The following is a 22,997-nucleotide window of genomic DNA, read 5'->3' as shown; positions in this document are numbered from 1 at the left end:
TTCATTAGGAAAAGAAAAGGAAATTCTGCAACTTCATGTTTCCTTTCTATGGCCAAGTTCTATTACTATCTTCTCTATCTTCAAAAGGAAAAAAGGTAGATTAGTGAAATTGGAATCCTCATAGATGCTGAAAAGACATACACAAATAAGACTGTGTAAGTTATAATTGACTGGGAGGAAAACTTTAGGTTAAGAAAGCATCAAATAAGCAATTCCTGTCTGAAAGTCTATTTGATTTATACTTAATACAGTGTTTCCAGGCTGATTCCTAATGACGTCCATTACATAGTCGGAAAAAATTCCTCTAAATACCTGATCAGTGCTGTCATTGCTTTCAGATAAAAAGGATGTAAATCCATTTCAATTAACAATCCTTAAAACAAAGATCAAAGCAAACCACTGATTTCAGTGGTTTATGTGTTCATCTTCTCCACTAAAATGTGAGACTCAGAAACAAGAACTATTTAATTTTGAAAATATTTTTACTTAGAAATAAAAAGTAAACTCTAGTTATTGTTTTTAATAAAATGATTACTTCTTAACATTCTCGCTATCTCAAAAGTGAAATAAACATAGGTTTGTTTAAGAGCCTAAATAGCAGACTTCTCAGATTTCTGGTAATTGAAGAATATACAGCTGTGAACTTTATACCATAATTTAAAACAGGCAGGGCAGTACTATAATTTTCCACAGATAGTCATTTAATATTTCCACAGAAATGCCATTCTTCTTAGATTTCAAATGCTTTAAATTTTGTAACGTATCATAGTTTTGCAATAAAATGTTTAAAGAAAGTTTATTTCGAAATTTTCTGCTGTCTGGGGAAAAAAGGACAGGACATTTTTTATAGCTAAGTTGTAATGGTTAGATTTCTTTTGATTATAAGTGAATGAAGATCCAAACCAAACTGGCTTGAACAAAAATAAAATTTATTGCCTCAGCTAACCAATATGTTCAGGAATAAGTCTAGCTTTGGTCAAAGCTTAACCATGGTAAATTATATCATCGGGACCTGCTTTTTCTCTGTAACTCTTGGCTCTGCCTTTTACTTGTTGTAGAGAGGTATTGGTCAAATCTCAGATGAAGTTGACTTTATGGTTATAAGTTGACTGCCAGTACTTTACACTTACAGGTGTGAATAATCCAGCTGAGATAAAAGACCCAGAATGCAGTCTCAGCAGCTCTGATAGGCTGAAATTGAAAAGGACACAAAAAAGTAAGGATATTCCATGAGCCTGAATTAGAAGAATTTAATATTATTAAAATGACAAAACTTCCCAAAGCACTTTACAGATTCAATTCAACCCCTATCAGAATACCAATGATATTATCTACAAAACAGAAAAATAATTCTAAAATTTTATGGAACCACAAAAGACCTCAAACAAACAAACAAACAACAACAACAACAAACAAATCCTGAGCAAAATGAACAAACCTAGAGGAATCACAATACCTGACTTTACGCTAGAAAATTTTAGTAACCAAATCAGCATGGTACTGGCATATAGACCAATGGAACAGGATAGAGAATCCAGATATAACTACACATATATTTACAGCCAACTCATTTCATACACTGGGGAAAGGATGGTTTATTCAATAAATGGTGCTGGGAAAACTGGATAACCATATGCAGAAGAATGAAACTAGACCCCTGCCTCTCACCATATACAAAAAATGAAATCAAAAATGGATTAAAGACTCACACTATGAAAATACTATGACTTCAAAGACCTCAGACTATGAAACTGCTATGAGAAAACTTGGAGAAATGCTTTAGGACATTGGTCTGAACAAATATGTTTGTAAGTCTTCAAAAGCACAGGCAACAAAAATAAAAATAGACGAACGGGATTACATAAGCTTGAAAGTTTGCACAGCAAAGAAAACAATCATAAAATGAAAAGACAACTCAGAGAATGGGACAAAATATTTGTAAACTATTCTGACAAGAGAGTGATACAAGAATGTAAAAGTAGCTCAAACAAATCAATATCCAAAAAGGAGAAAGGAAAAGATGAAGAAAAGTAGACAAAACTGCTGAATAAACATTTCTCGAAAAAGAGAAATGGCCAACAGTTTTATGAAAAAGAGCTCAAAATCACTTATCAGAGAAATGTAAAATGAAAATTACAATGAGATTTCACCTCACTCCAATTAAAATGCCTTTATCAAAAAATAAGGAATGATAGATACTGGTGAGAATGTGGAGAACGGAGAACTTTCTCCAGTGTTGGTACACTGTTGGTGGGAATGTAAATTAGTATAGCTGTTATGGAAAACAGTATGGAGGCTTCTTGAAAAACTAAAAATAGAACTGCCATGTGATACAGCAATCACATTACTGGGTGTTTATCCAAAGGAAAAGAAATGAGTATATCAAAGAAATACCTGCACTCAGATGTTTATTGTAGCATTATTCACAATAGCAAACACATGGAATCAATATCAATGTCTATTAATGGATTAAAGGATAAAGCAAATGTGTTATTGATATACAATGGGATATTATTCAGGCATAAAAAGAATAAAAGTCTGTCATTTGAAGCAACATAAATGGAACCAGAGGTCAATACGTTAAGTGAAATAAGCTAAGCACAGAAAGACAAATATCACATGTTCTCATTCATATGTGAAAGATCAAAAGGAAAATAGAAAGTTGATGGTTGGTTCCTAGAAGAAGGAAGAGTATGGGGAAGGGAGGGATGAAAAGAGGTTGAGTAATGGGTATAAATAAACATTTAGAAGAATTAAGACCTGGTGTTCACTAGACCAGTAGGGTGACTATAGTTAACATTAATTGATTGTACATTTTGAAATAACCAGCAGAGAATAATTTGAATGTTCCTAGCTTAAAGAGAAGACAAATATTTAAGATGATGGATATTCCCATCACCCTGATTTGATTACATGATTGTATCAAATCACACGTAGTACAAAAATATGTACATCTAGTATGTATCAATAAAATTAAAAAAATACTTTTCATTTTGTTGTTTCTTTGTATTGTTATGTAGTCTCCATTTCATTGATTTCTACTCTGATATTTATTTATTTTTCTAATTTTGGGTTTGGTGTGTTCTTGCTTTTTATTTTCCTGAGATGGATCATTAGGCTGTTTATTTGAAATCTTTCAGTTTTTTTAGAAGTAGAAATCTATTGCTCTAAATTTCCCTCTTAGCACTACTTTTTCGGTATCCCGTAGGTTTTGGTATGTTGCGTTTCCATTTTCATTTGTTTCAAGGAATGTTTTGTTTTTCTTCTTTATTTATTGACATAATGGTCATTCAGGAGCAAGGCGTTTGATTTCATATATTTTTACAGTTTCCAAAGTTCCTCTTTTTATATTGATTTATGGTTTTACTTTCTTTTGGTCTGAGAAGATACTTAATACAAAATCAGTTTTTTAACATTTGTTGATACCGTTCTGTTGCCTAATCACATTCTATTCTGGAGACTGTTTTGTGTGTTAATGAGAAAAACGTATATTCTACAGCTGTTGGATGACATATTCTGTAAATGTCTGCTAGGTCCATTTGGTCTATCGGGCAGATTAAGCCGATGCTTCTTTGTTGATTTTCTGCCAGAGTGACTTGTCTATTGCTGAAAGTGGGGTGTTGCTGTCCCCCACTATTATGGTATTCGGTCTATGTCTCTCTTTAGCTTTAATAATATTTGCTTTATATATCTGGGTGCCCTGGTATTGGTACAATTTACAGTTGTTATATCCTTTATCTAGGTTAATTGCATGTCTTTGCGATTGTGAATAATGCTTCAGTGAGCATTCATGTGCATGTGTCTTTATAGTAGAATGATTTATTTTCCTCAGAGTATATACCCAGTAATGGGATTGCTGGTGTGAATGGTAGTTCCGTTTTTATATTCCTCCATGAAGGATAGCCATACTGCTTTCCACAATGGTTGAACTAATTTACATTACCACCGACAGTTGTATAAGTGTTCTCTTCTCAATGCAACCTCGCCAGCATCTGTTATTTTTTGACTTCTAAATACGGCCATTCTAACTGGTGTGAGATGGTATCTAACTGTGGTTTTGATTTGCATTTCTCTAATGATCAGTGACATTGAGCTTTTTTTCATAGCCTTGTTGGCCACATGTATGTCTTCTTTTGAAAAGTGTTTGTTCATGTCTTCTGTCCACTTTTTAATGGGGTTGTTTTTCTCTTGTAAATTTGTTTAAGTTCCTTATAGATGCTGGATGTTAGATTTCTGTCAGATTTCTGTATAGTTTGCAGAAAGTTTCTCCTTTTATTTAGGTTGTCTGTTTACTATTTTGATAATTTTCTTTGCTGTGCAGAAGCCCTTAAGTTTAATTAGATTCCACCTGTCAATTTTTGCTTTTGTTGCAATTGCTTTTGATGTCTTTGTCATAAAATCTTTGCCCATTCCTATGTCCAGGATGGTATTGCCTAGGTTGTCTTCCAGGGTTTTTGTAGTTTTGGGTTTTACATTTAAGTCTTTAATCCATTTTGAGTTGATCTTTGTATATGGTGTAAGGAAGGGTTCCAGCTTCAATCTTCTGCATATTGCTAGCAAAGTATCCTAGCACCATTTATTGAAAAAGGAGTTCTTCTCTCATTGCTTGTATTTGTCAGTTTTATAGAAGATCAGATGGTTGTAGGTGTGCAGCATTATTTCTGGGCTCTCTATTCTGTTCCATTGGTCTATGTGCCTGTTTTTGTACCATACCAAGTTGTTTTGGTAACTGTAGCCTGTAATATAGTTTGAAGTTGGGCAACCTGATGCCTCCAAACTTTGTTCTTTGTGCTTAGGATTGTTTTGGCTCTTTGGGCTCATCTTTAGTTCCATATGAATTTTAAAATAGCTTTTTCTAGTTCTGTGAAGAATGTCATTGGTGGTTCGATAGAAATAGCATTGAATCTGTAGATTCAACGGGCAGTATGGCCATTTTAATGATACTGATTTTTCCCCTCCTTGAGCATGGGTTGTTTTTCCACTTGTTTGTGTCTTCTCTGATTTCTCTGAACTGTGTTTTGTAATTCTCATTGTAGACGTCTTTCAACTTTCTTTTTTCTTTATTTTCTGACTGGGTTATTTCAGAAGCCCTATTTTCAAGTTCAGACTTTTTTTTCTGAAAAATGATCTAGTCAATTGTTGAGGTTCTCAATTGTGTTTTTATTTTATTCATTGAATTATTTATTTCCAAGATTTCTATTTTTAATGATACCTACTTTTTGTTGAATTTCTCATTCAGATCATGAATTGTTTTTCTCATTTCTTTGTGTTGTTCATCTGTGTTCTCTTATATCTCACTAATTTTCTTTAATATTACTTTAAAAATTCTTTTCAGTCATTTTACAGATTTTCTTTCCTTTGGGATCTGTTACTGGAGAATTATGATGTCATGTTTTCTTGCTTTCTCATGTGTCTTGTTTCCTTATTTTAATATCTGCATAACTGGTGTAACAGTCACTGCTTCCCATATTATAGATTGGTTTTTGCAGGTAAAGATTTTTCCTATTGATGTATCTATAGTGTTTATTGGGTAGACTCCTTTGTCTTTAATTCTGGGTGAATGTAGTAGTATAATCTTCATATGATTTCTTTCTTGGCTGTAATCAGCATTAGTGGTATCTATGAGTCCCTCAGTGGTTTAGACTGCAGTTGTTAGTGAAGGTTGTGGTGAGGCTTTGGTAGGACAGGGTGGGCCAGACCTTGGATACCTGTGGTAGTGATGGCAGGCATAGTGTGCCTGGGGTTTTAACAGGTTTATAGTCCTTGGGGTTTTAACAGCATATGCTAGTGCTGGTGGTGGTGGGTTTGGGTGAGCCAGTCTTCAGGCCTATACGCAGCATGCTTAGGTGCCAACAGTGGCACCAGCAGACTGGGTGGGCAGATCCTTGGTTCTAAGTGATGTGTGAAGTTACCTGTGGTAGTAATGGCGGCTTGGGTTGGGTGGTCCCCAGGCCCCTGGGTGAAGTGTGTGGGTGAACACTGGCAGTGGCAGTGGTAGCAGGTTGGACAAAATGTTCCCTAAGTCCCTTAAAGGTGCATGCAGGCTCTCAGTAGGCCAGTGTTTATGATCCTGGATGGTGAACACATGCACCAATGGAGGTGGGCAGGGAAGAACTATCCATAGGCCCACAGACAGTATATGTGAGTCATGGTGGCAGGTGAGATGGGCCTGTCATCAGACCACAGTAGAACTATGTGTGCACTGGCAGTGGCACCAGTGGGCAGGTCAGGCCTCTCCCCAGGACCTTGAATGACATGCACAGGTGCTGGTTGTGGCAATAAAGACACAGTCAGGGTGGCTCAATCCGCAGTCCCCTGAACAGCTTTCTTGAGCACTGGAAGTGGTGGCAGTATGTAGAGTAGGCCTGTCCTCAGGTTCTTGAACTTCAGGCACTGGTGCTGGTGGTAGCAGAAACTTGGATGATGTGCACAGGTGCTGGTAGTGGTGATAATTCTCAGGCCACTGGATGGTACTCTTGGGCACCAGTGGTGGTGGGCATGTCAGGCTGATTTGCAGTTCCTCAGATGATATGCTTAGGTTCTGGCAGCAGCAGCAGGCAAGGCAGGGCTGTCTTTAGGCCTTGTTGGTGTGCATGAGTGCTGGCAGCAGCAACAGGCAGGGTAGACTGTTATGAAATCGCTTGATGAGATGTGGCAGGGGTTCTGGGCAGGCTGCTGTCAGGCTCTGGAGAGCGCATACTTCAGTTCCCTTTGTCTGGGGGCAGCCCCCTTGGTCCACTGTACTGCCTGTTCCATGGGGTACAGGAAACTGTGGGTTAGAATGCTAGGGATCAGGTCACACCAATGATCTAGCTAGCGTCATGACACTGCAGCCTCCTGAGTGGATGTGGGGGGATATCAACAGGGTTCCAGGGATATGAAGGTGCAAAGATGATTGGGTCCTAGGGTAAGATGTAGTTTGCTGGGGGCTCAGCTTTCAAAATAGCTCTACACTGAAGCTGCTTGGGTCACAGGTCGGGAGAGGGTACAGTGGGACCCAGTCCAAACTCCCTCCCTGAAACAATGGTATCATGAGGATGTCAGGCTCAGGGTTATATTAGTCTCAGGGCCTGCAAGGGCTGAAGGGCTCTCCCATGGCTAGGATTGCAAGAGCCTGTTGTGGGAATATGATCTGAGGGAGATCTGTCACTTAACTTTCCCTGCAATACGGAGTTCCTCCTGGCTCTGAGCTGATCCTGGACCTGCCAGCTGCTTTGTTTCCCTCTTGTTCCATGCTTCAGAGTTTCCCGGTCACTTTCTTTCCAGTGTTCTCTCTAAGAAGCTCGAGTCAGTGTTCGGTTACCTACTCACTCTTCTGGTCTTTCTTTGCGAAGGAGGTGAGTGCAGGGTGCCTCTAGTTAGTCATCCTCACCCCTGGAGTTCTCACATTTGTATTTTTGTTATGTCATGTATACTAATCTGGTACTCAGGAAAGATTGTTCAAAAATATGAATTACTGTTCACCTTAGCATCTTTTGCTTTGTAGAAAAAAATTGTTGATTATAAAATCTGTCAAAATTGACTGAAACCTGCAGAAATACCATTTACTCTGTGGCACAGCTCTATTCCTAAGCCTGTAAGCAGTTAGGAATTTCTTTTATTCTATTTAACTTTGCATAATAAGTAACTTAAGTATCTGCTGGTAACCACTGATTACCACCCGCCCCCTACCCCACCACACACACACAAATCTCTAAAGTCTAAGCTACTAAATCTGAACTTATACTGAACCAATGTTTTGTGTACAAAGACTGTTCTTTGTTTGAACTGGGTCTTCATAAGTCAGTGAAAGATTACACAGTACCAAATCTATCATCATTTTCCCCTTGAATTACTAGGATTTCCACTTAAGGAAAATAGGACATATGCGTGAAATATATTTAAATGCAACTTCCACAGTGACATGAAGAAAAATAATTGGAAATGAAGTTATATTCATTTCGTTAGCGGTAGTTTGCTTCCTTGCTTATGAAGCATGTTATTTTAAGTAAAAACATCAAAAAATATGAAGGAATAATATTACTGAAGCCAAATATTACAGGATATATAAATACTTGAGTAAATCCTTATGAGAAGAAGAAATGTTTTCAAATCCTCAGCTTTTCAGAACAGAAACAGTGTTGATTCTGGCACTGAGTGTAAACCACCTACATATCACTTTTCATGAGCTTCCAAAAGATGAAGCCAAAGGACAAAAATCTATACTGAAATTCCCTGTTGAGAATATGGCAAAAAAAGAGAAGCCCAACAATAATGGAAAAACATTAAGTCTGCATATTTAATAATTCTGTACTATGCCAACCAAGGAGTGAGGATTATAAATAGTCATATTTATTTCTTGTGTTTCATCTATTGCCTGTTTTTAAAAACAACAGGCAGCCTAGCCTACATTTTATCTATATGATTGACTATATGAATTTGCTTAAGACCAGCTCTGGGAAAAGAAATTCTTTTATCTGCAGACTTTGTTCCTCTGAACCATGTAACTGGAAAGAAGAGGAAAAAGATTGACACAAATCTCATTGTTTTCTTTCTTGGATATGTATCTTTTAACTCTAAGGTCATAGTCTAACCAGAACATAATGTTATTATAGCATCAATACAAATGGTAAACTTTGATATTTTGAATAAAGGAGACTTTTTATATTTTTTTCTTAATATGTTGTACTTGATTGACCCCTGTGAACTACCTGCTGCTAAAAAATATTGATCTGATTTTTTTTTGGTAGAATACTTTATGAGCTACTTCAATCTAACCAAATATTTAGGTAGCATCCAATTCAGTTGTAATATATAGAGTTATAGCAGGCACATTTGCAAGGAGTTCTCATTGATTTCTTAAAAAATGTTTTGTTGCCTAGGTGTAATATTTTAAGAAAATCATGGTAAATCCACCAACAGAAATATGCAGTCATTGAAAAGTATGTTTAAAAATAATTTTTAATGTAAAATACATCTTTAAAAATAATGCTATTGTCAAATGAAAGGCAGAATATATCATTTTAAATGCAGCATCAGCTTAATTATGTACAAAATATATAAATAGTAAAGGCAAGAAAAATTCAAAATATGAATATTGGTTGCAAGACACATGTGACTATGACAAACTTCTTTCATTATTTTATCCATGCATCCTTAAACCCCTCTTCTCTTCCTCTATTATTATTATTGTCTATGGCTCAACTATCCAATTTTGCCTCTGGTCAGAAGCATGCCATAGGCTTTCCTCTCTTTGAATAATGTCAAATCTAATCAATTGTTTTAACCTAGAAATTCTAATTTTCAAATATTTTCATATCCTGCTTTTTCCATTTCCTGTCCTGCTATTATTGTCCTGTATCAGGCTTGCATCATCTCTTTCCTGGACTGTGCAACAGCCTCTTACCTGTTGTTCTACCTCTACTTTTGCCCCCTAGAGAACCATCCTCCGTGATATACTCTAGGAAATTCATTTCAAGTGATGATATTACCATGTACTTGTCTTTAAATGATGTCCTTTTGCCTATAGAATCAAGTTCCTCAGAGTGACATAAAATAATCCCTCTATGACCTAGCCCTGATCTTTTCTTCAGTCTCATCTTGCCCTCCTCATACTTACTGCATATGCAGAATGTATACATTATGAAATTTTACACTGTATAGATTTGTTCAGACTATTTCTACTGCTCAATATCCCCTAAAGAAAGCTTATTCCTACTATAACTTACAACTAGGGTAGCTTCTCCTTCCTGGAACATTTCCTCTGTTAAGACTAAGTAGCCTGACTATCCCTGACATATCCCTATTGCTTTCCAGTTAGCCCACACTATATAATATTAAATTAACTTACTTAGCAATTTTTTTTTTCACTATAGCAAAAACTTTTGGAGAGCAGAGGCTGCTAATAATTCACAATTCATTCATCCCAGTACTTAGCATGGGTCTGGAATACAGCAGACACTCAATAGAATGAAACTGAACTTACAGTTACATAAAATTAAATTTGGATTCAATGTCTTGCTCTAGGAAGTTAATGCTTAGCTATACTAAGAACCAGTTAAATAGATGTTGGATACTGGAATTGGGCAGTGTTGTTGCTACTTTGGTATACTACAAAAATCTAAAAAAAAACACACACACACACAAAAACTAGTTTATCTTGTGATGTTTCTGTCTCTTGTTACATCCTAAAGAAATTGTATATTGAAATTCCTTAGAGATATGAGGGCAAAGGAAGTGTGTTCTTCTTTAAAGCTTCAGAATAAAAAAGCAGACAAGTATAATATTTCATAAATTAAGTAGGCACAAGGTCAAACATTGTCTCAATTCTATGTAGTTTCTGTGGCTTGGAAGCTTCTTTTAAAGGCGTCGTATTTTTCCTGACACTTACCTAAGAAGACATACCTAAGGTTTGGAAATCAGTAGAGAACATCCATTTCTGAGAAATTTCCTGGGTTTTGTGGTTCTGGTCAAGATGGTCAAAAGCACTGTGCCATGTATCCTCTTGGTCTGGTCTCAGGCTTAGCATAAGAAGATCCTTGAGATTCAGGTTCAAATACTGATTAACCGCAGGCTCTGGGCAAAGCAAATAGATGCTTGGGTTTCAATTTCCTTCTCTGTTATACACCAGCAGTAATACTGCTCAGGAAAATAGGTCAGCCATATCATCCAAGCATGGCCGGACAGTTGCTTTCACCACCCACTACAGTCTCAGAAACTACCTGGCAGAAGCACAGATTGCAGAGCCTTACCTTTTAGCATGTTGTTACTGGTTTTCTAAGATATTGTGAGAAATTAGATCTATTATTTCAAGTTTTGAAGCATGAATAATATTCACAACCCAAAACCATTCCCCACAGGTGCATTGATAGCCTGTGGTTCCCTGTCCTGTGTCCACCGTTTCCTTTGTCTTCTTCATCTTTAGTACAGTTGTGCAATCTATAATGTATATGCTTTATAATGCACTGCCCATTATTCTTTTGATCTGGCCGTTGTTTTAATAATGTCTTTTCCTGGGTTAGAATAAGTTCCCAGGTAAAATGTTTTGGGAAGCTGGTTATATGTTAAGCTTTCACTCCTTCAAATATTTAGGCAATTATTTTTACATACACACACTCTCATTCTAATCTAAGCCATAGAAAACCCTCTTTATTTATGCAGAAAAGCACACATTGCCCACCAGGAAGGGAATTCACTTCTGAAAACAGAACAAACTTTCGCTCTAGTAGTTTTGCTTTTCCTTCACCTTAAGGAAGAAAGCAACAAAATAATCACTTATAAAAGGGGATTAGAAATGGACTGAAACAGAAGTTTGGCATGTTTAGTTCTTCTATTCTAGTTTTATCCACTGATTTCTTCCAGTGATGTTAGTAGTACCTAGTATAGGAACAATGGGCAAGGAAGAATGAAATACAAAAGAGAATAGTAATCTGTAATTAGAAGAAATAGAAGACAGAACAGGGAAAATAGAAAGAGACTTAGTAAAGAAAGCTGATTGCTTACTGTATGTCAGGCAAATAGTCCAGAGCTTTAAATTTTATGAACCATTGAATCTACATTTTACATATTCACTAAGCAAATAATCTTATTATTCCCAATTTACAATTAAAGACATGAGTCTTGCAAGATTAAGTAACTTGGCCAAGATTACATAGTTCAAAGCAGAGCTTCCACTTCAATTTCAACAAATATTTGCCCAGCCTTTGTTAAGCGTCTATGCTGTGAATAATAAAAGACCTGTGACTAACCGGGCGCGGTGGCTCACGCCTGTAATCCCAGCACTTTGGGAGGCCAAGGTGGGCAGATCACGAGGTCAGGAGATCGAGACCATCCTGGCTAACACGGTGAAACCCCGTCTCTACTAAGAATACAAAAAATTAGCCAGGCGTGGTGGCAAGCGCCTGTAGTCCCAGCTACTCGAGAGGCTGAGGCAGGAGAATGGCGGGAACCCAGGAGGCGAAGCTTGCAGTGAGCCGAGATCGTGCCATTATTCCAGCTGGGCAACAGAGCCAGACTCCGTCTCAAAAAAAAAAAAAAAGACCTGTGACTCATCTTCTTTAATTTTCTGAGGAATAATTTTATAGATCATTTTTTTCTTTCTATATGAGCCAAATATTAGATGTTTGTTTCCCACACATATTTTTTAAATATATGATTTTATTCAATATTAACAATTGGAGAAGTGTCTTTGAAACATAATGAAAGCATTTGGATATTCTTCAAAGAATTAGGTTAAATATAATAATTTTATCTTGACACAAAAGTATATTACTTCATGATAAAACATTATTTTTCAAAATTAAGAATCTAATAAAAATGGTTTAATTGTATTTAGCTTGCTGTAATATTATTTTTGATTAAGAGAATCAAATGAGGTTACATTATATTTTAAAGTCAGCATTTTAATGGCATGTGAAATTATGCTATGATAGGTAAAATTGTTGCCAGTGGTTATTTGTGTACAGAAAACATTAAAATGGAAAATATTAGATAGTTATAATCAGTCATGCATATTGTATGCAGATAAATATGGAAGATGAAATGTATTTTAAACAATATAATTCACTCCTATAAATCAGTTATCACTGTTATATATTCGAGAGTTTCAATAAGTATGTAGTATAATTAAATATTTAAATAAGTGCTTACTAAGCTAGCTATAGTAGTCAAATTTTGCCATTTTGCAAATCTATTAGCTATTTATGAATATTTATATTACAGAAATTCTTAGAAGTTTTAGGGGAGGAGAGATATTATAAATTAGGGCTAATAGTCAAAATCATTTAAAACTTATGTAACCTTACCCCTGATGATTTTAGGGAATTAAGAAGCCAAAATGTATTATGTATCAAACTATGTTATAGAATTGTCCTATTCAAAATATGGCATCTAATAGCTAATTGGAGGAAAGTGGTTTTTGTTCTTAGAATGGAAATACCCTAAACATAGGTAAGTGAATTGTGTCACATTATGAGGCTGAAAAAAATCAGGTCATATTCCCAGGGGTCATGTGCTTCTGGCTAGCTGTCATCTCCCCTCCCTATTTTGGGAATAATAAGCTGTGGGGTTTTGTAATGTGAGGTTGTCATGTGCTTGTGGAAGAAAAATTCAGGAACTAGAAGAAGAAATGAAGGAATAATATCTTAGGCAGTTTCCATTATACAGTGAATAGATTCATGAGAAAAATCAGAAAAGAGATAATATGGCACTTTACACCAGGGGTAGGCAAACTTTTCTATAGAGGGACAATTAGTAAATATTTTCAGTTTTGTAGGCCATACTGCCTCCATTATAACCACTCAATCTGTTATTGTACTGTGAAAGGAGACATAGACAATATGTAAATGAGTGAACATAGCTGTATTCTAATATAACTTTATTAACACTGAAATTTGATTTTCGTACAATTTTTATGTGTCACAAAATACTCTTCTTCTTTTGATTTGCTTTCAATCATTTACAAGTGTAATATCAATGATTCTTAGCTCCTAGACCATATAAAAACAGGCAGCAGGCCAGATTTGACCTGTCTTAGATGGATGGATGAATTTTTGTCCGGATGGAAAAACAAGGCTAGGAATCAGAGAATTTGCCTGAGCAGCATCCATATACCACATTGCTCTGCCTGTGGTGAATATGGCCGGAGCTGATCACACCCAGTTCTGCTTGGACTAGCACCCAAAGACACTGTGGGTACAGAATAGTAGTGAGGAGTAAACAAAGCATGTCCTTTGAACTGTTAAGACAGTTTTGGCTTTGGGGTCTTCATGGTTAATGTCTGTCTTCTCCAAAAGCCTGATATTTCAGGGAAGGTAAAGGCTGTGTACAATACCTGGCACATAATAGCAATCTTTACATATTAGATAAACTGAATAGGCCAGTGACTGTTAGACCCCTAGCAAACATATACCCAATCTGTTCAAAATGAATACATTCAATTGCTTTATGATAACAATTCTGAGGTGGGAAGACAAAATAAAATATTATAACATAAGAGGCAGAGCAGAAGCTTTTATTTGTTCAGCTAAAAAATCACATACAATCTTCAAATGAACTTGATAGTTAAATGACCAAAAAGGTGTTACTTAAATGCAACACTATGCATTATGAATAGAACTTCATAAAGTTGTTAAGTCTATATAAAGTTACTATAAACTTTAGCTGATATATAAAGAATAACACGAGAACCGGACCTAATGAAGCATGTCTGCTTCAGCTCAAGTACAGAAGCCCAGCTCATTCTCTGCCACTGAATCAAATTAGGAGCAGATGGTAATTTGGACCAGATGAAGTTTCAAAGGGCAGAGATGCAGGACATTCCGAAGCACACATTGAACTTTTTTCCACAAAGACTAATGTTCATTACTGTGACATTGTAGCCACTGAACTTATACATGGCAACTGAATTACCTTGACAGTAATGCAATTCATTTTTACAGGCTGACATCATTCAGTATTTTGGGAAAATTAATAGGAATCAGTGACTTTATTAGTTACTTTGTCATGTTTTTACATGCTCTGTTCTACAAGTACTGCTTCTTTACACAAAATAAAAGTCCTTTTATATTTTGCTTTGCTTTATTCATATTAAATCATTCAGTTTCAGCCAAAATTAATATTTTATTAAGCCAGCAAAATAAACTTTCTGTGAGTGTATGCAGTGAAGTTCATTTATAGCTATTCTATTACATATTCCATTTTTCTGTCTGTATAATTCCAACATATTCTTTAAACAAAAAGCAAATATTTAAGTTAAAGTGTTTCTGACTTTAGTATAATGCAGAAACACACTTTTTTCAATTTTAGAACACTATTTGGCAACCACTTATCAGAAGGGTTTGTGGGAGGAGCCACATGAAAATGTATTATTATTTTATTTATCCCCAATAGGAGCCCATGAATATTACTCTAGTAGTGGCTCTGACCACGAGTCACCAACCATGACAGGGAGATCATGTCTACTGTGGATAGATCATGCTGTTTAACTTTAAAGGTTAAACAGATCAGCACAAAAAGCAAGTCCTGACTGGAAGTAGTCAGATTGTAATAAGTAGGGGACAGTTTGGAGTAGATAAAAGAGAATACCAATGTGATTACCCTTTTCAAGAAGCTTTCAGCGATACACTGAACACTGTGATCTAGCCCACTGGATTACCTATTTCTTGTTAAACCCACCTCTGCTTTATTTCTTTGTGCTTTTGTGGGAGCACAAAGCTATTTCCTTTCCCTTGAAACTCATATCATACGTCCCTATCTTCTTTAGGACCCTAGAACCCAAGCCTGTGGTATCTCACTCTTCCAAATGTCCATAGCAGTTATTAGTTTAACACAGAGGTTGCAAGCTTAGCTGCATATGGAGGTCAGGATCTTAATGAATGAACTGGGCTGGCTGTAGCAAGATAGTTCCTTACAGAGCCTCAATATTGGATGCAACTTACCCCTTTTGGATAAAGCTGCCTTCCTTCCAAGCCATGCACGTGAATTACATGGGAATATGGGCCTGATGTTGCCATGAGTGATAAGTTTTAAAAAAAAAGTGCAATCTTAATGTGAAAATTTCAAGTGTTGGCAACACTAAATTCTCAAATATCTGCATTCTATATTTTTGCTTGAAAGGAATCAGACCGGTACCCGTTCTTTAACTACTTATTTGGAATCAATTTATATATGATGCTTTGAGTGTTTGACATTTACCATATGAGCATCATAAACATTTATTTAAATAGGTTGTAGTTTTAGAATACATATTAGGGATTTTTTTTCTCTACCCAAATAAAATACAGACTCCATTAGGGGAGATTATATCTTATACAGTTTTATTTCAGAACTACAGGGTGACATATGCATAAAAGTGTTGAATAAATAACAATTTGGTTGATAAACTAATTTTTTAAAAGAATGTAAAAATTATGACAAGGAGGTATAAAAAGTAAAATGGGAAAGAATAATGAAAAATTTTTAATAAAATTTGTATTAAAAGTGATACCTACTTTTGACCCCAAAGAAACCTTTGTTACAAGGCTCAAATGAGACATAGGATGAGAAAAAATCCCTTTGTAAATTGAAAAGGACTATAGATATGTTCAGGGTGTTATTTTAGAAAAAATCAGGGCAGCTTTTGAACTTCTGTAACAAAATAAACAGTGTCCTACAACTTTATTGGCTCATTCATTGATGGTTAATTATTGTATCTATTTGGGGTCTATAGTTGGTAGTTTAATATAAAAAACACCTCTGGGTAAAATTTTCATTCCTTTAGGTTTTCTTCACTATGTATTAATTTCCTTTAAAAATAATCCTGTTTTTTAGATTTGAGAAAGTCCATGCATGGGAGCAGGACAAAGAGAAATAATCTGATCATCCCTAAGAGGTTTCAAGGTAGAGTATATGTACTGTTATTTTACTTTTCTTTGCTTACTCTAGTACGATAGCTCTCTCAAGACAAACATTTTTAACAGAAAGTTGTTGTGAATGAATAACCTCTTTAAGGGAAAGAAGTAAGGTAATTTGGATGAAAATTTAAGTTTTATACTATACTGAAGATGGAAATTATGAAAAAAACTATACCTTCTCTTTGTGTCCTTATTGAAAAGTTTTGTATGCACACATTTGAAAAATAGAAAAATGAAATAAAATGTTATTATTTTTATCTCAAGAAACAAGTTTTCTGACCTACTTGAGATATTAAGGAGGGAAGTCTGTTTGCAGTTAAAAGAGAGAGACCATTTATCAGGTCAACTTCCAGTACACGTTAAGTTTTTAGAGGACATCATTGTGCTCTAATTTTTTTCCCCATTCTCCTGAACTGGGGACCTTCTAATGTTTGAAAGGACTGCCCTTCAAGTGGCCAGAGGTTAACCCAAACCTCCCTTTTCACATTTCTATTCGGGTTCTAAATTTCGGATGCCCTTGGAATCCAGACAAGCCATATCCTGACTGCCAAATCTTAGTGAGAAATGGCAAGCAGATAAAAAGGAAAGTGTCATGAAACCTTCCCATGGGTAACCAGGAGGAGAGTCAACAGTGAAAGTGTGGCTGGGAGCAGGCCTGGTTGGTCAAGAAGGTACTGAGAGACTCAGGGCCTCTTTGATATGTGGTCAGTCATAAGGCTTCATCTGTAAGTCTCACTGTTTTTTTTGGTGGGGGGGCATTTTTCAGTGGATTTAAGACCTGAAAAAATATTTATGAAATGCAAAATGACATTTTGTGTATTTTGTTTTTGATGAACAAGCTTATTTAATCAGTCTGGATTACTTGCATTTTATGTGTGAAACAGATTAAGAAAAGAAAAATGTTCATCCAAAGACCAATGTAGAAGGGAAGTGATCTTTCTGTTTAAGATTCTTCCAGTGAAGACTAGCATGCTTAAGAAAACATTTTTGTTGTTTATTTGCTGATGACATTGAGAACTGCCAATATCTGAGGAATAAGTTTGTCATAACTTTCAGGATGTGAAGAATTTGGGTCCCCTATGTTTTCTGTAACTAATCATGTTACTCTCAAGTTTCCATTCTGGCCCTCTGGCTCACATGATAACTAACTTTTAAGTGCCCCACTGGAATTTTTGAAAGGTGAGAAAGAGTGAGGAAGGGAAAGGGGCATATGGAATGTTCTAGGCAGAGGCAGGCAGGAGAAAATAGTAGGTACAAAGGTCTGCAAGAAGCTGCTTGTACCTAGAGCCTAGAAATAAGAAGGGCCAAGTGAAGAAGGACTTTCTAACCTTATTTTAAAGTGTTTGAACTTTATCTCCAGGGCCATCGAAGGGTTTAGTTCAGAGAAGTACATAATTTTATTTTCATATGCCAGATATTTGATCATCTAGAAAGGCAATTAATATCAAATAGAATACATGACTGTAGCAGAAGGGGGGCCATTCTTTTCCTTTGACTTGACCTCACTCCTATACATACACCTCATATGTCCCTGTGTGATGATCTGCTTCAGATGCAGTAAATACAAATTCCAATCTCCCCTCCCCCAAATCATCCCCTAAAAACCCCCAGGGCTCAGGAGGCAAAACTAAATAATAGGAGGTGAAAGTCCTCCTTATGATAGAGACAACAGAGTGATGACACAAAAGCACAAGCAACACATTTAATTTAATCCAATGTGACAAAAATTTATTGAGCACCTATTTTGTCTCTGACACAGTGAAGGTACTGAGATTAACACAAAATAAAATAGCTAATCTCATTCTGATATGAATATGTTGTTACACAATTACTATTCAATATGATGAGTCAATATCATGCCAAAGGAAGTTATAAAGTCAAAAACTATGTCTAAAGTTATTTTCCAAATACTATGGAAATACAGATGAATGTACTGTTAACTGTTCAGACAAAGAAAAACCACAGCACTTTGGGAGGCCGAGGCGGGAAGATCATGAGGTTAGGAGATCAAGACCATCCTGGCTAACACGGTGAAACCCCGCCTCTACTAAAAATACACACACACAAAAAAAATTAGCCGGGTGTGGTGGTGGGTGCCTGTAGTCCCATCTACTCGGGAGGCTAAGGCAAGAGAATGGTGTGAACCCAGGAGGCAGAGCTCGCAGTGAGCCGAGATTGCGCCACTGCACTCCAGCCTGGGTGACAGAGCGAGACTCTGTCTCAAAAAAAAAAAAAAAAGAAAAAGAAAAACGACATTTATAAAAATGGACAAGAATGGAGGATAGAAAAGAACATACTTTTCTGTATTTATTAAATACCTTTTCATTTCTTAATTCAATCATTTACTCATTTATCAATCAACTCATCAATCAGTTAGGTAGTAAAGACTTATTGAATACCAAACATGCCAGGCATTGCGTTTGGTGCTAACTATACCAGGAAAAATATAACAAGTTCCTAGCCCTTATGGATGCACAGATAAATAAGACCATGCTTGCACTTATGAGGATTAAAATATATACATGACTACAGCAACTTATATGTGTAGAACTTCTCAAAGACAAATTGTTTTAATACACATCACCCAATTCAGTTTTTGTAACAATATTTTTATGAAACTTACCACAGTCTTTTGAATTAACAAAAGTTATATTCAGAATTGTGTCTTAAATCTTGATCATCATCCCAAGGCCCAAGTTCTGCACACCAAACAAGGTTGAATGGACTCAACCTTGACTCAACTCCTCAGAAAGAAGAGAGAGAAAGAGAGAGAGAGACTCAGGGATGTGCCACATTCCAGGCAAAAGAAGCTAGCTATAAGTTTGTGAAGATAAAAGATGGTAGGACTTAAATGACTATAGATCCTGAAATAGGACACTCCAGGATGAAAGTAAGCAAGAGGTGGGATATTAGAAACCACATCTGGGTACGTCTTCCATTTGGTAGGAATATAGGGTTTTTATAGGGTATGGGAAATATGGGAGGAAAGATAGGTAAGGATCAAATTCTCCAGTGTCATAGAAATTATAATCTGTATGGAGCAGGGAACAACTCTCCTCAAATAGCTTAAATAAAAAGAAGGAACATGGACTAGAAAAATTATTAAAGTTCTTTCAGTTCTAACGTTTCATCACTTTTCCATACTATGTCTTCTAAATAGAAAATCTTATCAATAAATAATCCTGGAAATGTTAATAATCTAAGTAAATCTTATTTTCAAATAGTCTGAAATGCCAATTAATTTTTCTATAAAATAGCTTTGGTCATTTTCTCCTAATAGAATATTATCAATTGACCACAGATCAAAATCTGGGACCGCTAGAGCTTTAGTACATTGTTTAATGTTCAATAGATAGTTATTGTATTGATCAACTATTTACGAATTATATAAGCTTTTTGGAGCCTAGATATACTCATTAGTAAAAATAATAAGAAGAGCATATTTGCTGTCTATGGTGCCTTCTGAGTTCTTTGAGTCAAAACATCTCAGGTGAGTAGTGCACAATATAAGTAATCCACATCTAATGTTATTCAAACAGAGTGTTACGTTCTGAGACCAAAAATCACATTATTACAATGGAAAAAGAAAGCTCAAACAGAATATTCCATGTATATTCCTTTGAGGAAGTATTAAACACACAAGGCCATCAGTTGATACTTCTTTTGTTTAAATAAACTTAATAGAGTATTTATTGGGACAGACAGATCTCTCAGCCCTTCCATATTTTCAAAGGCATATATGATAATTTTAACCTTGTGAGCTACAAGCTTGCATAGCCATGCAAGAGATAAAGCAAAGCTTAGCCATAAAAGGTCACAGACTGCCTCAGAGAATTGGAGACTTGCAGAGCTAAAACTGGATGGTCTTTCCTGAAGGTTCAGCCTCTAGAGAGGAGCAGAGCGTAATTTAATCCTGAAATTATGGGTCTGAGCAAAGGACTAAAAATTCAAAGTTTTGCTTTATAAATATAGACTGAAATGTGAATCAGTGAATGAATCTTTGCTAAAATACAGCCCCACCCAGAAGATTATGGATTGCATCTGGGACATTCTGTTTTTAGGCAGCAACAAAGACCACCTTTCACCACAAATATGCACTCTAGATTAAGAGTACTTTTCTACTAAGGAAAAAAATGGAAATCATTTTCAAAATTTCAAAATTTATCCTCAGTACTGGTAAAAGTATTATTGGGATGAATAAGTTAAAGTTTGCTTAAAAGGACAGAACAGAGATTGGTCAACTTTTTTTATAAAGTGTCAGATAGTAAACATTTTAGGCTTTGCAAGCCACACAGTCTGTGACCCAACCATTCAACTCTGTCCTTGGTTGTGAAAGAAATCATAGACTATGGGTAAATGAATGGGAATGGCTGTGTTACAAAATAATTTTATTTACAAAAACAGGTGTTGGATCAGATTTGGCTTCTAGGCCTTAGTTTTCCATATCTCATGATACAAAAATTTTCCAAAACTAGATGATGCTCAAGAACCATCTAGGAAGCTTTTTCAAAAATACAGCTTTCTGGGCTGTCCCTCAAGGGATTCTGATACAGTGGAGGTAGATAGTAGGGAAGTAAACTTTGAGAAACCCCATGATGAACTGTTTTCAAATGCTCATGATGTAAAACAACACTATAATGAAATTAATTTGCACAGACTGTAGTGTAGCCTTGGAGACCAGAAGATAGCAACTGTTTATGTATAACCCCAGACACGCAGGACCTGTGATGTAATATATTCCAGAGACATCTGATCAGCCATCGGCTTGCAGAGAGGTGTCCTATTAACATTTAAGAGCCATCCAACCCTCTCTTAACAAACCTGAGTCATTGTCACAGTGACTATGCAGTTTAATTCCTTGATCTCTGTCCCAGTTAACTCTACTTTGTTGTTATTTCCCCTTTTGAATAATTTCAAACACACAGAATTCCTTATAAATCCATTTTTAATGCTGGAAGTTTTTAATAATGGTCATAAATTTAAAGGTCTTAATCACATATGTAGCATTTTTATAGGATTTATTGAGGTCTATTACTTTCTATTTTCTTTGGTATCTGGTAAGATTTAGTTGGCCTTCCTATCTTGTGGATTTCATAGATATAAAATAAGGAATGTGTGCTGTGTTGCCCAGAGCTATAACTTTTTCATGCAGTCAACAGGAGTAACTCAAAAGAAAAGCTAAAAAATCATTTTTGAATTTTCTGATGTCATAAAATAATTGTGACATAAACTCTCTCGATGTGTAATTCAATCTTGAACTTACTTGAGGATGTAATTAGTGGAAAACCCCAGATAAGCTGGAGTTCACGTATCTCTCGTGGTACACAGACTTTCTAAGAGACAAGTGGAAATGGGGAGTCATAAGGGAATCTATTTCTAAGTTCTCACCTTCTTTAGGTACTCTTTCCTAAAACTGACTTGCCCCTGGAATGTGTATGTTGAAGTCATTCAGTCAGGGCCAGCTTCATGGGCATGTGATCTGTGCAGCAGCACAGGGTCACACCCTGGTTTAATGTTCTCTGTCACCATCTGAAAATTCTTAATAATTTTTTTAATAAAAAGGGCTCTACATTTCTGGTTCACAAATTAAGTAGCTGGTCCTGGATTTAAGTGTCACTCTGGTTCTGCTTTATGACACCTCCTTTTCCCATTTTAGAAAAGATAGTTATAACTCTCATTTATCAATCTTACTAAAATACATTCCCCTGGAAGAAGGGGAAGGCGGGGTGGGGGAGTGGATGATGTAAAAGAGCCTTCTGGATGCAAATAAAGGGACAATTCAAAATATTGATTAAGGCCTGGGCCGGCTATTTTGTCTGTCTCTGTTATATACATATGTCCTTAACGTTAAACTTGATTTTAGAACTTTGAGATTGTGTCATGTGTGTAACTGTTCTGAATTCCCAGAGTAATAAGAATTTTTATTCTTGTACTCATTGATTTCATCCTTGGGCTGCCTTCAAAGAATACAGTGCTCTGGAGGGAGGTTCCCCTGTGGGCAAAGTAAAGGAAACAGTACTGAAGGTAGCAGCACCTCATTCCATCCAGGTCCCCAGTTCTGGGCAAGGTCCTGAGGACATATTGAGCTCCTGAGGATTTATTCATCCTTCTGCTCCATCTCCCTGCCAACCTTACTTAGCTCTTTTAGAATTCCAATTCAAAATTATGATGCTTGCCTTGAGGTTGAGTACTAACACAGTTATTTAAAAAGGAAAGATGAAATCAGACACTTTTGGAAAGAACCTATGTCAGATAGGTTGATAATTGAGGACTGGCCTGGTAATTGTATTTTTATGGGGCTATTTTCCATACATTAAATTAAGTATATGTGAAGTTTCAATGCTTTTTATTTATAAAACCATTTCTGGACACATATTATTTGCCAGCCATTATTCTAGGTGTTTGGGGAGGGAGGGAGGGAGAGAGAGAGAGAGAGAGAGAGAGAGAGAGACAGTGGGGAGAGGCAGAGTGGGGGGATGGAGAGAGAGAGAGAAAGGAAGGAAGGAAGGAAAAAGAAAGAAAGAAAAGAGAAAGAAAGAAGAGGAAGAGGAAGAAGAGAAGGAAGGGAGGGAAGGAGGGAGGAAGGAAGGAAAGGAAGGAAGGAAGGAAAAAGCAAGCAAGCTTACT

At 36.1% G+C, this 22,997-nt stretch overlaps 2 long non-coding RNA genes across 2 annotated transcripts in view; one reads left to right on the top strand and one right to left on the bottom strand.

Annotated features, from left to right (window-relative positions):
* The window catches only part of LOC101928516 (uncharacterized), a 621,277-nt gene that overhangs the window by 37,809 nt on the left and 560,471 nt on the right, over nt 1–22,997 (bottom strand). The gene's annotated exons all lie outside the window — the stretch shown is intronic.
* LOC105377858 (uncharacterized) overlaps nt 1–22,997 on the top strand; it is a 140,187-nt gene that overhangs the window by 81,447 nt on the left and 35,743 nt on the right. Inside the window, exon 2 of the long non-coding RNA NR_187974.1 lies at nt 16,288–16,356. This is a non-coding gene — a long non-coding RNA (uncharacterized LOC105377858). The remainder of the gene's footprint in view (nt 1–16,287; nt 16,357–22,997) is intronic.

Source organism: Homo sapiens, chromosome 6 (genome assembly GCF_000001405.40).
Source record: "Homo sapiens chromosome 6, GRCh38.p14 Primary Assembly".
NCBI lineage: Eukaryota > Metazoa > Chordata > Mammalia > Primates > Hominidae > Homo > Homo sapiens.
Note: the sequence above shows the minus strand (reverse complement) of the source record. Positions and strands in the feature narration are given on the sequence as shown.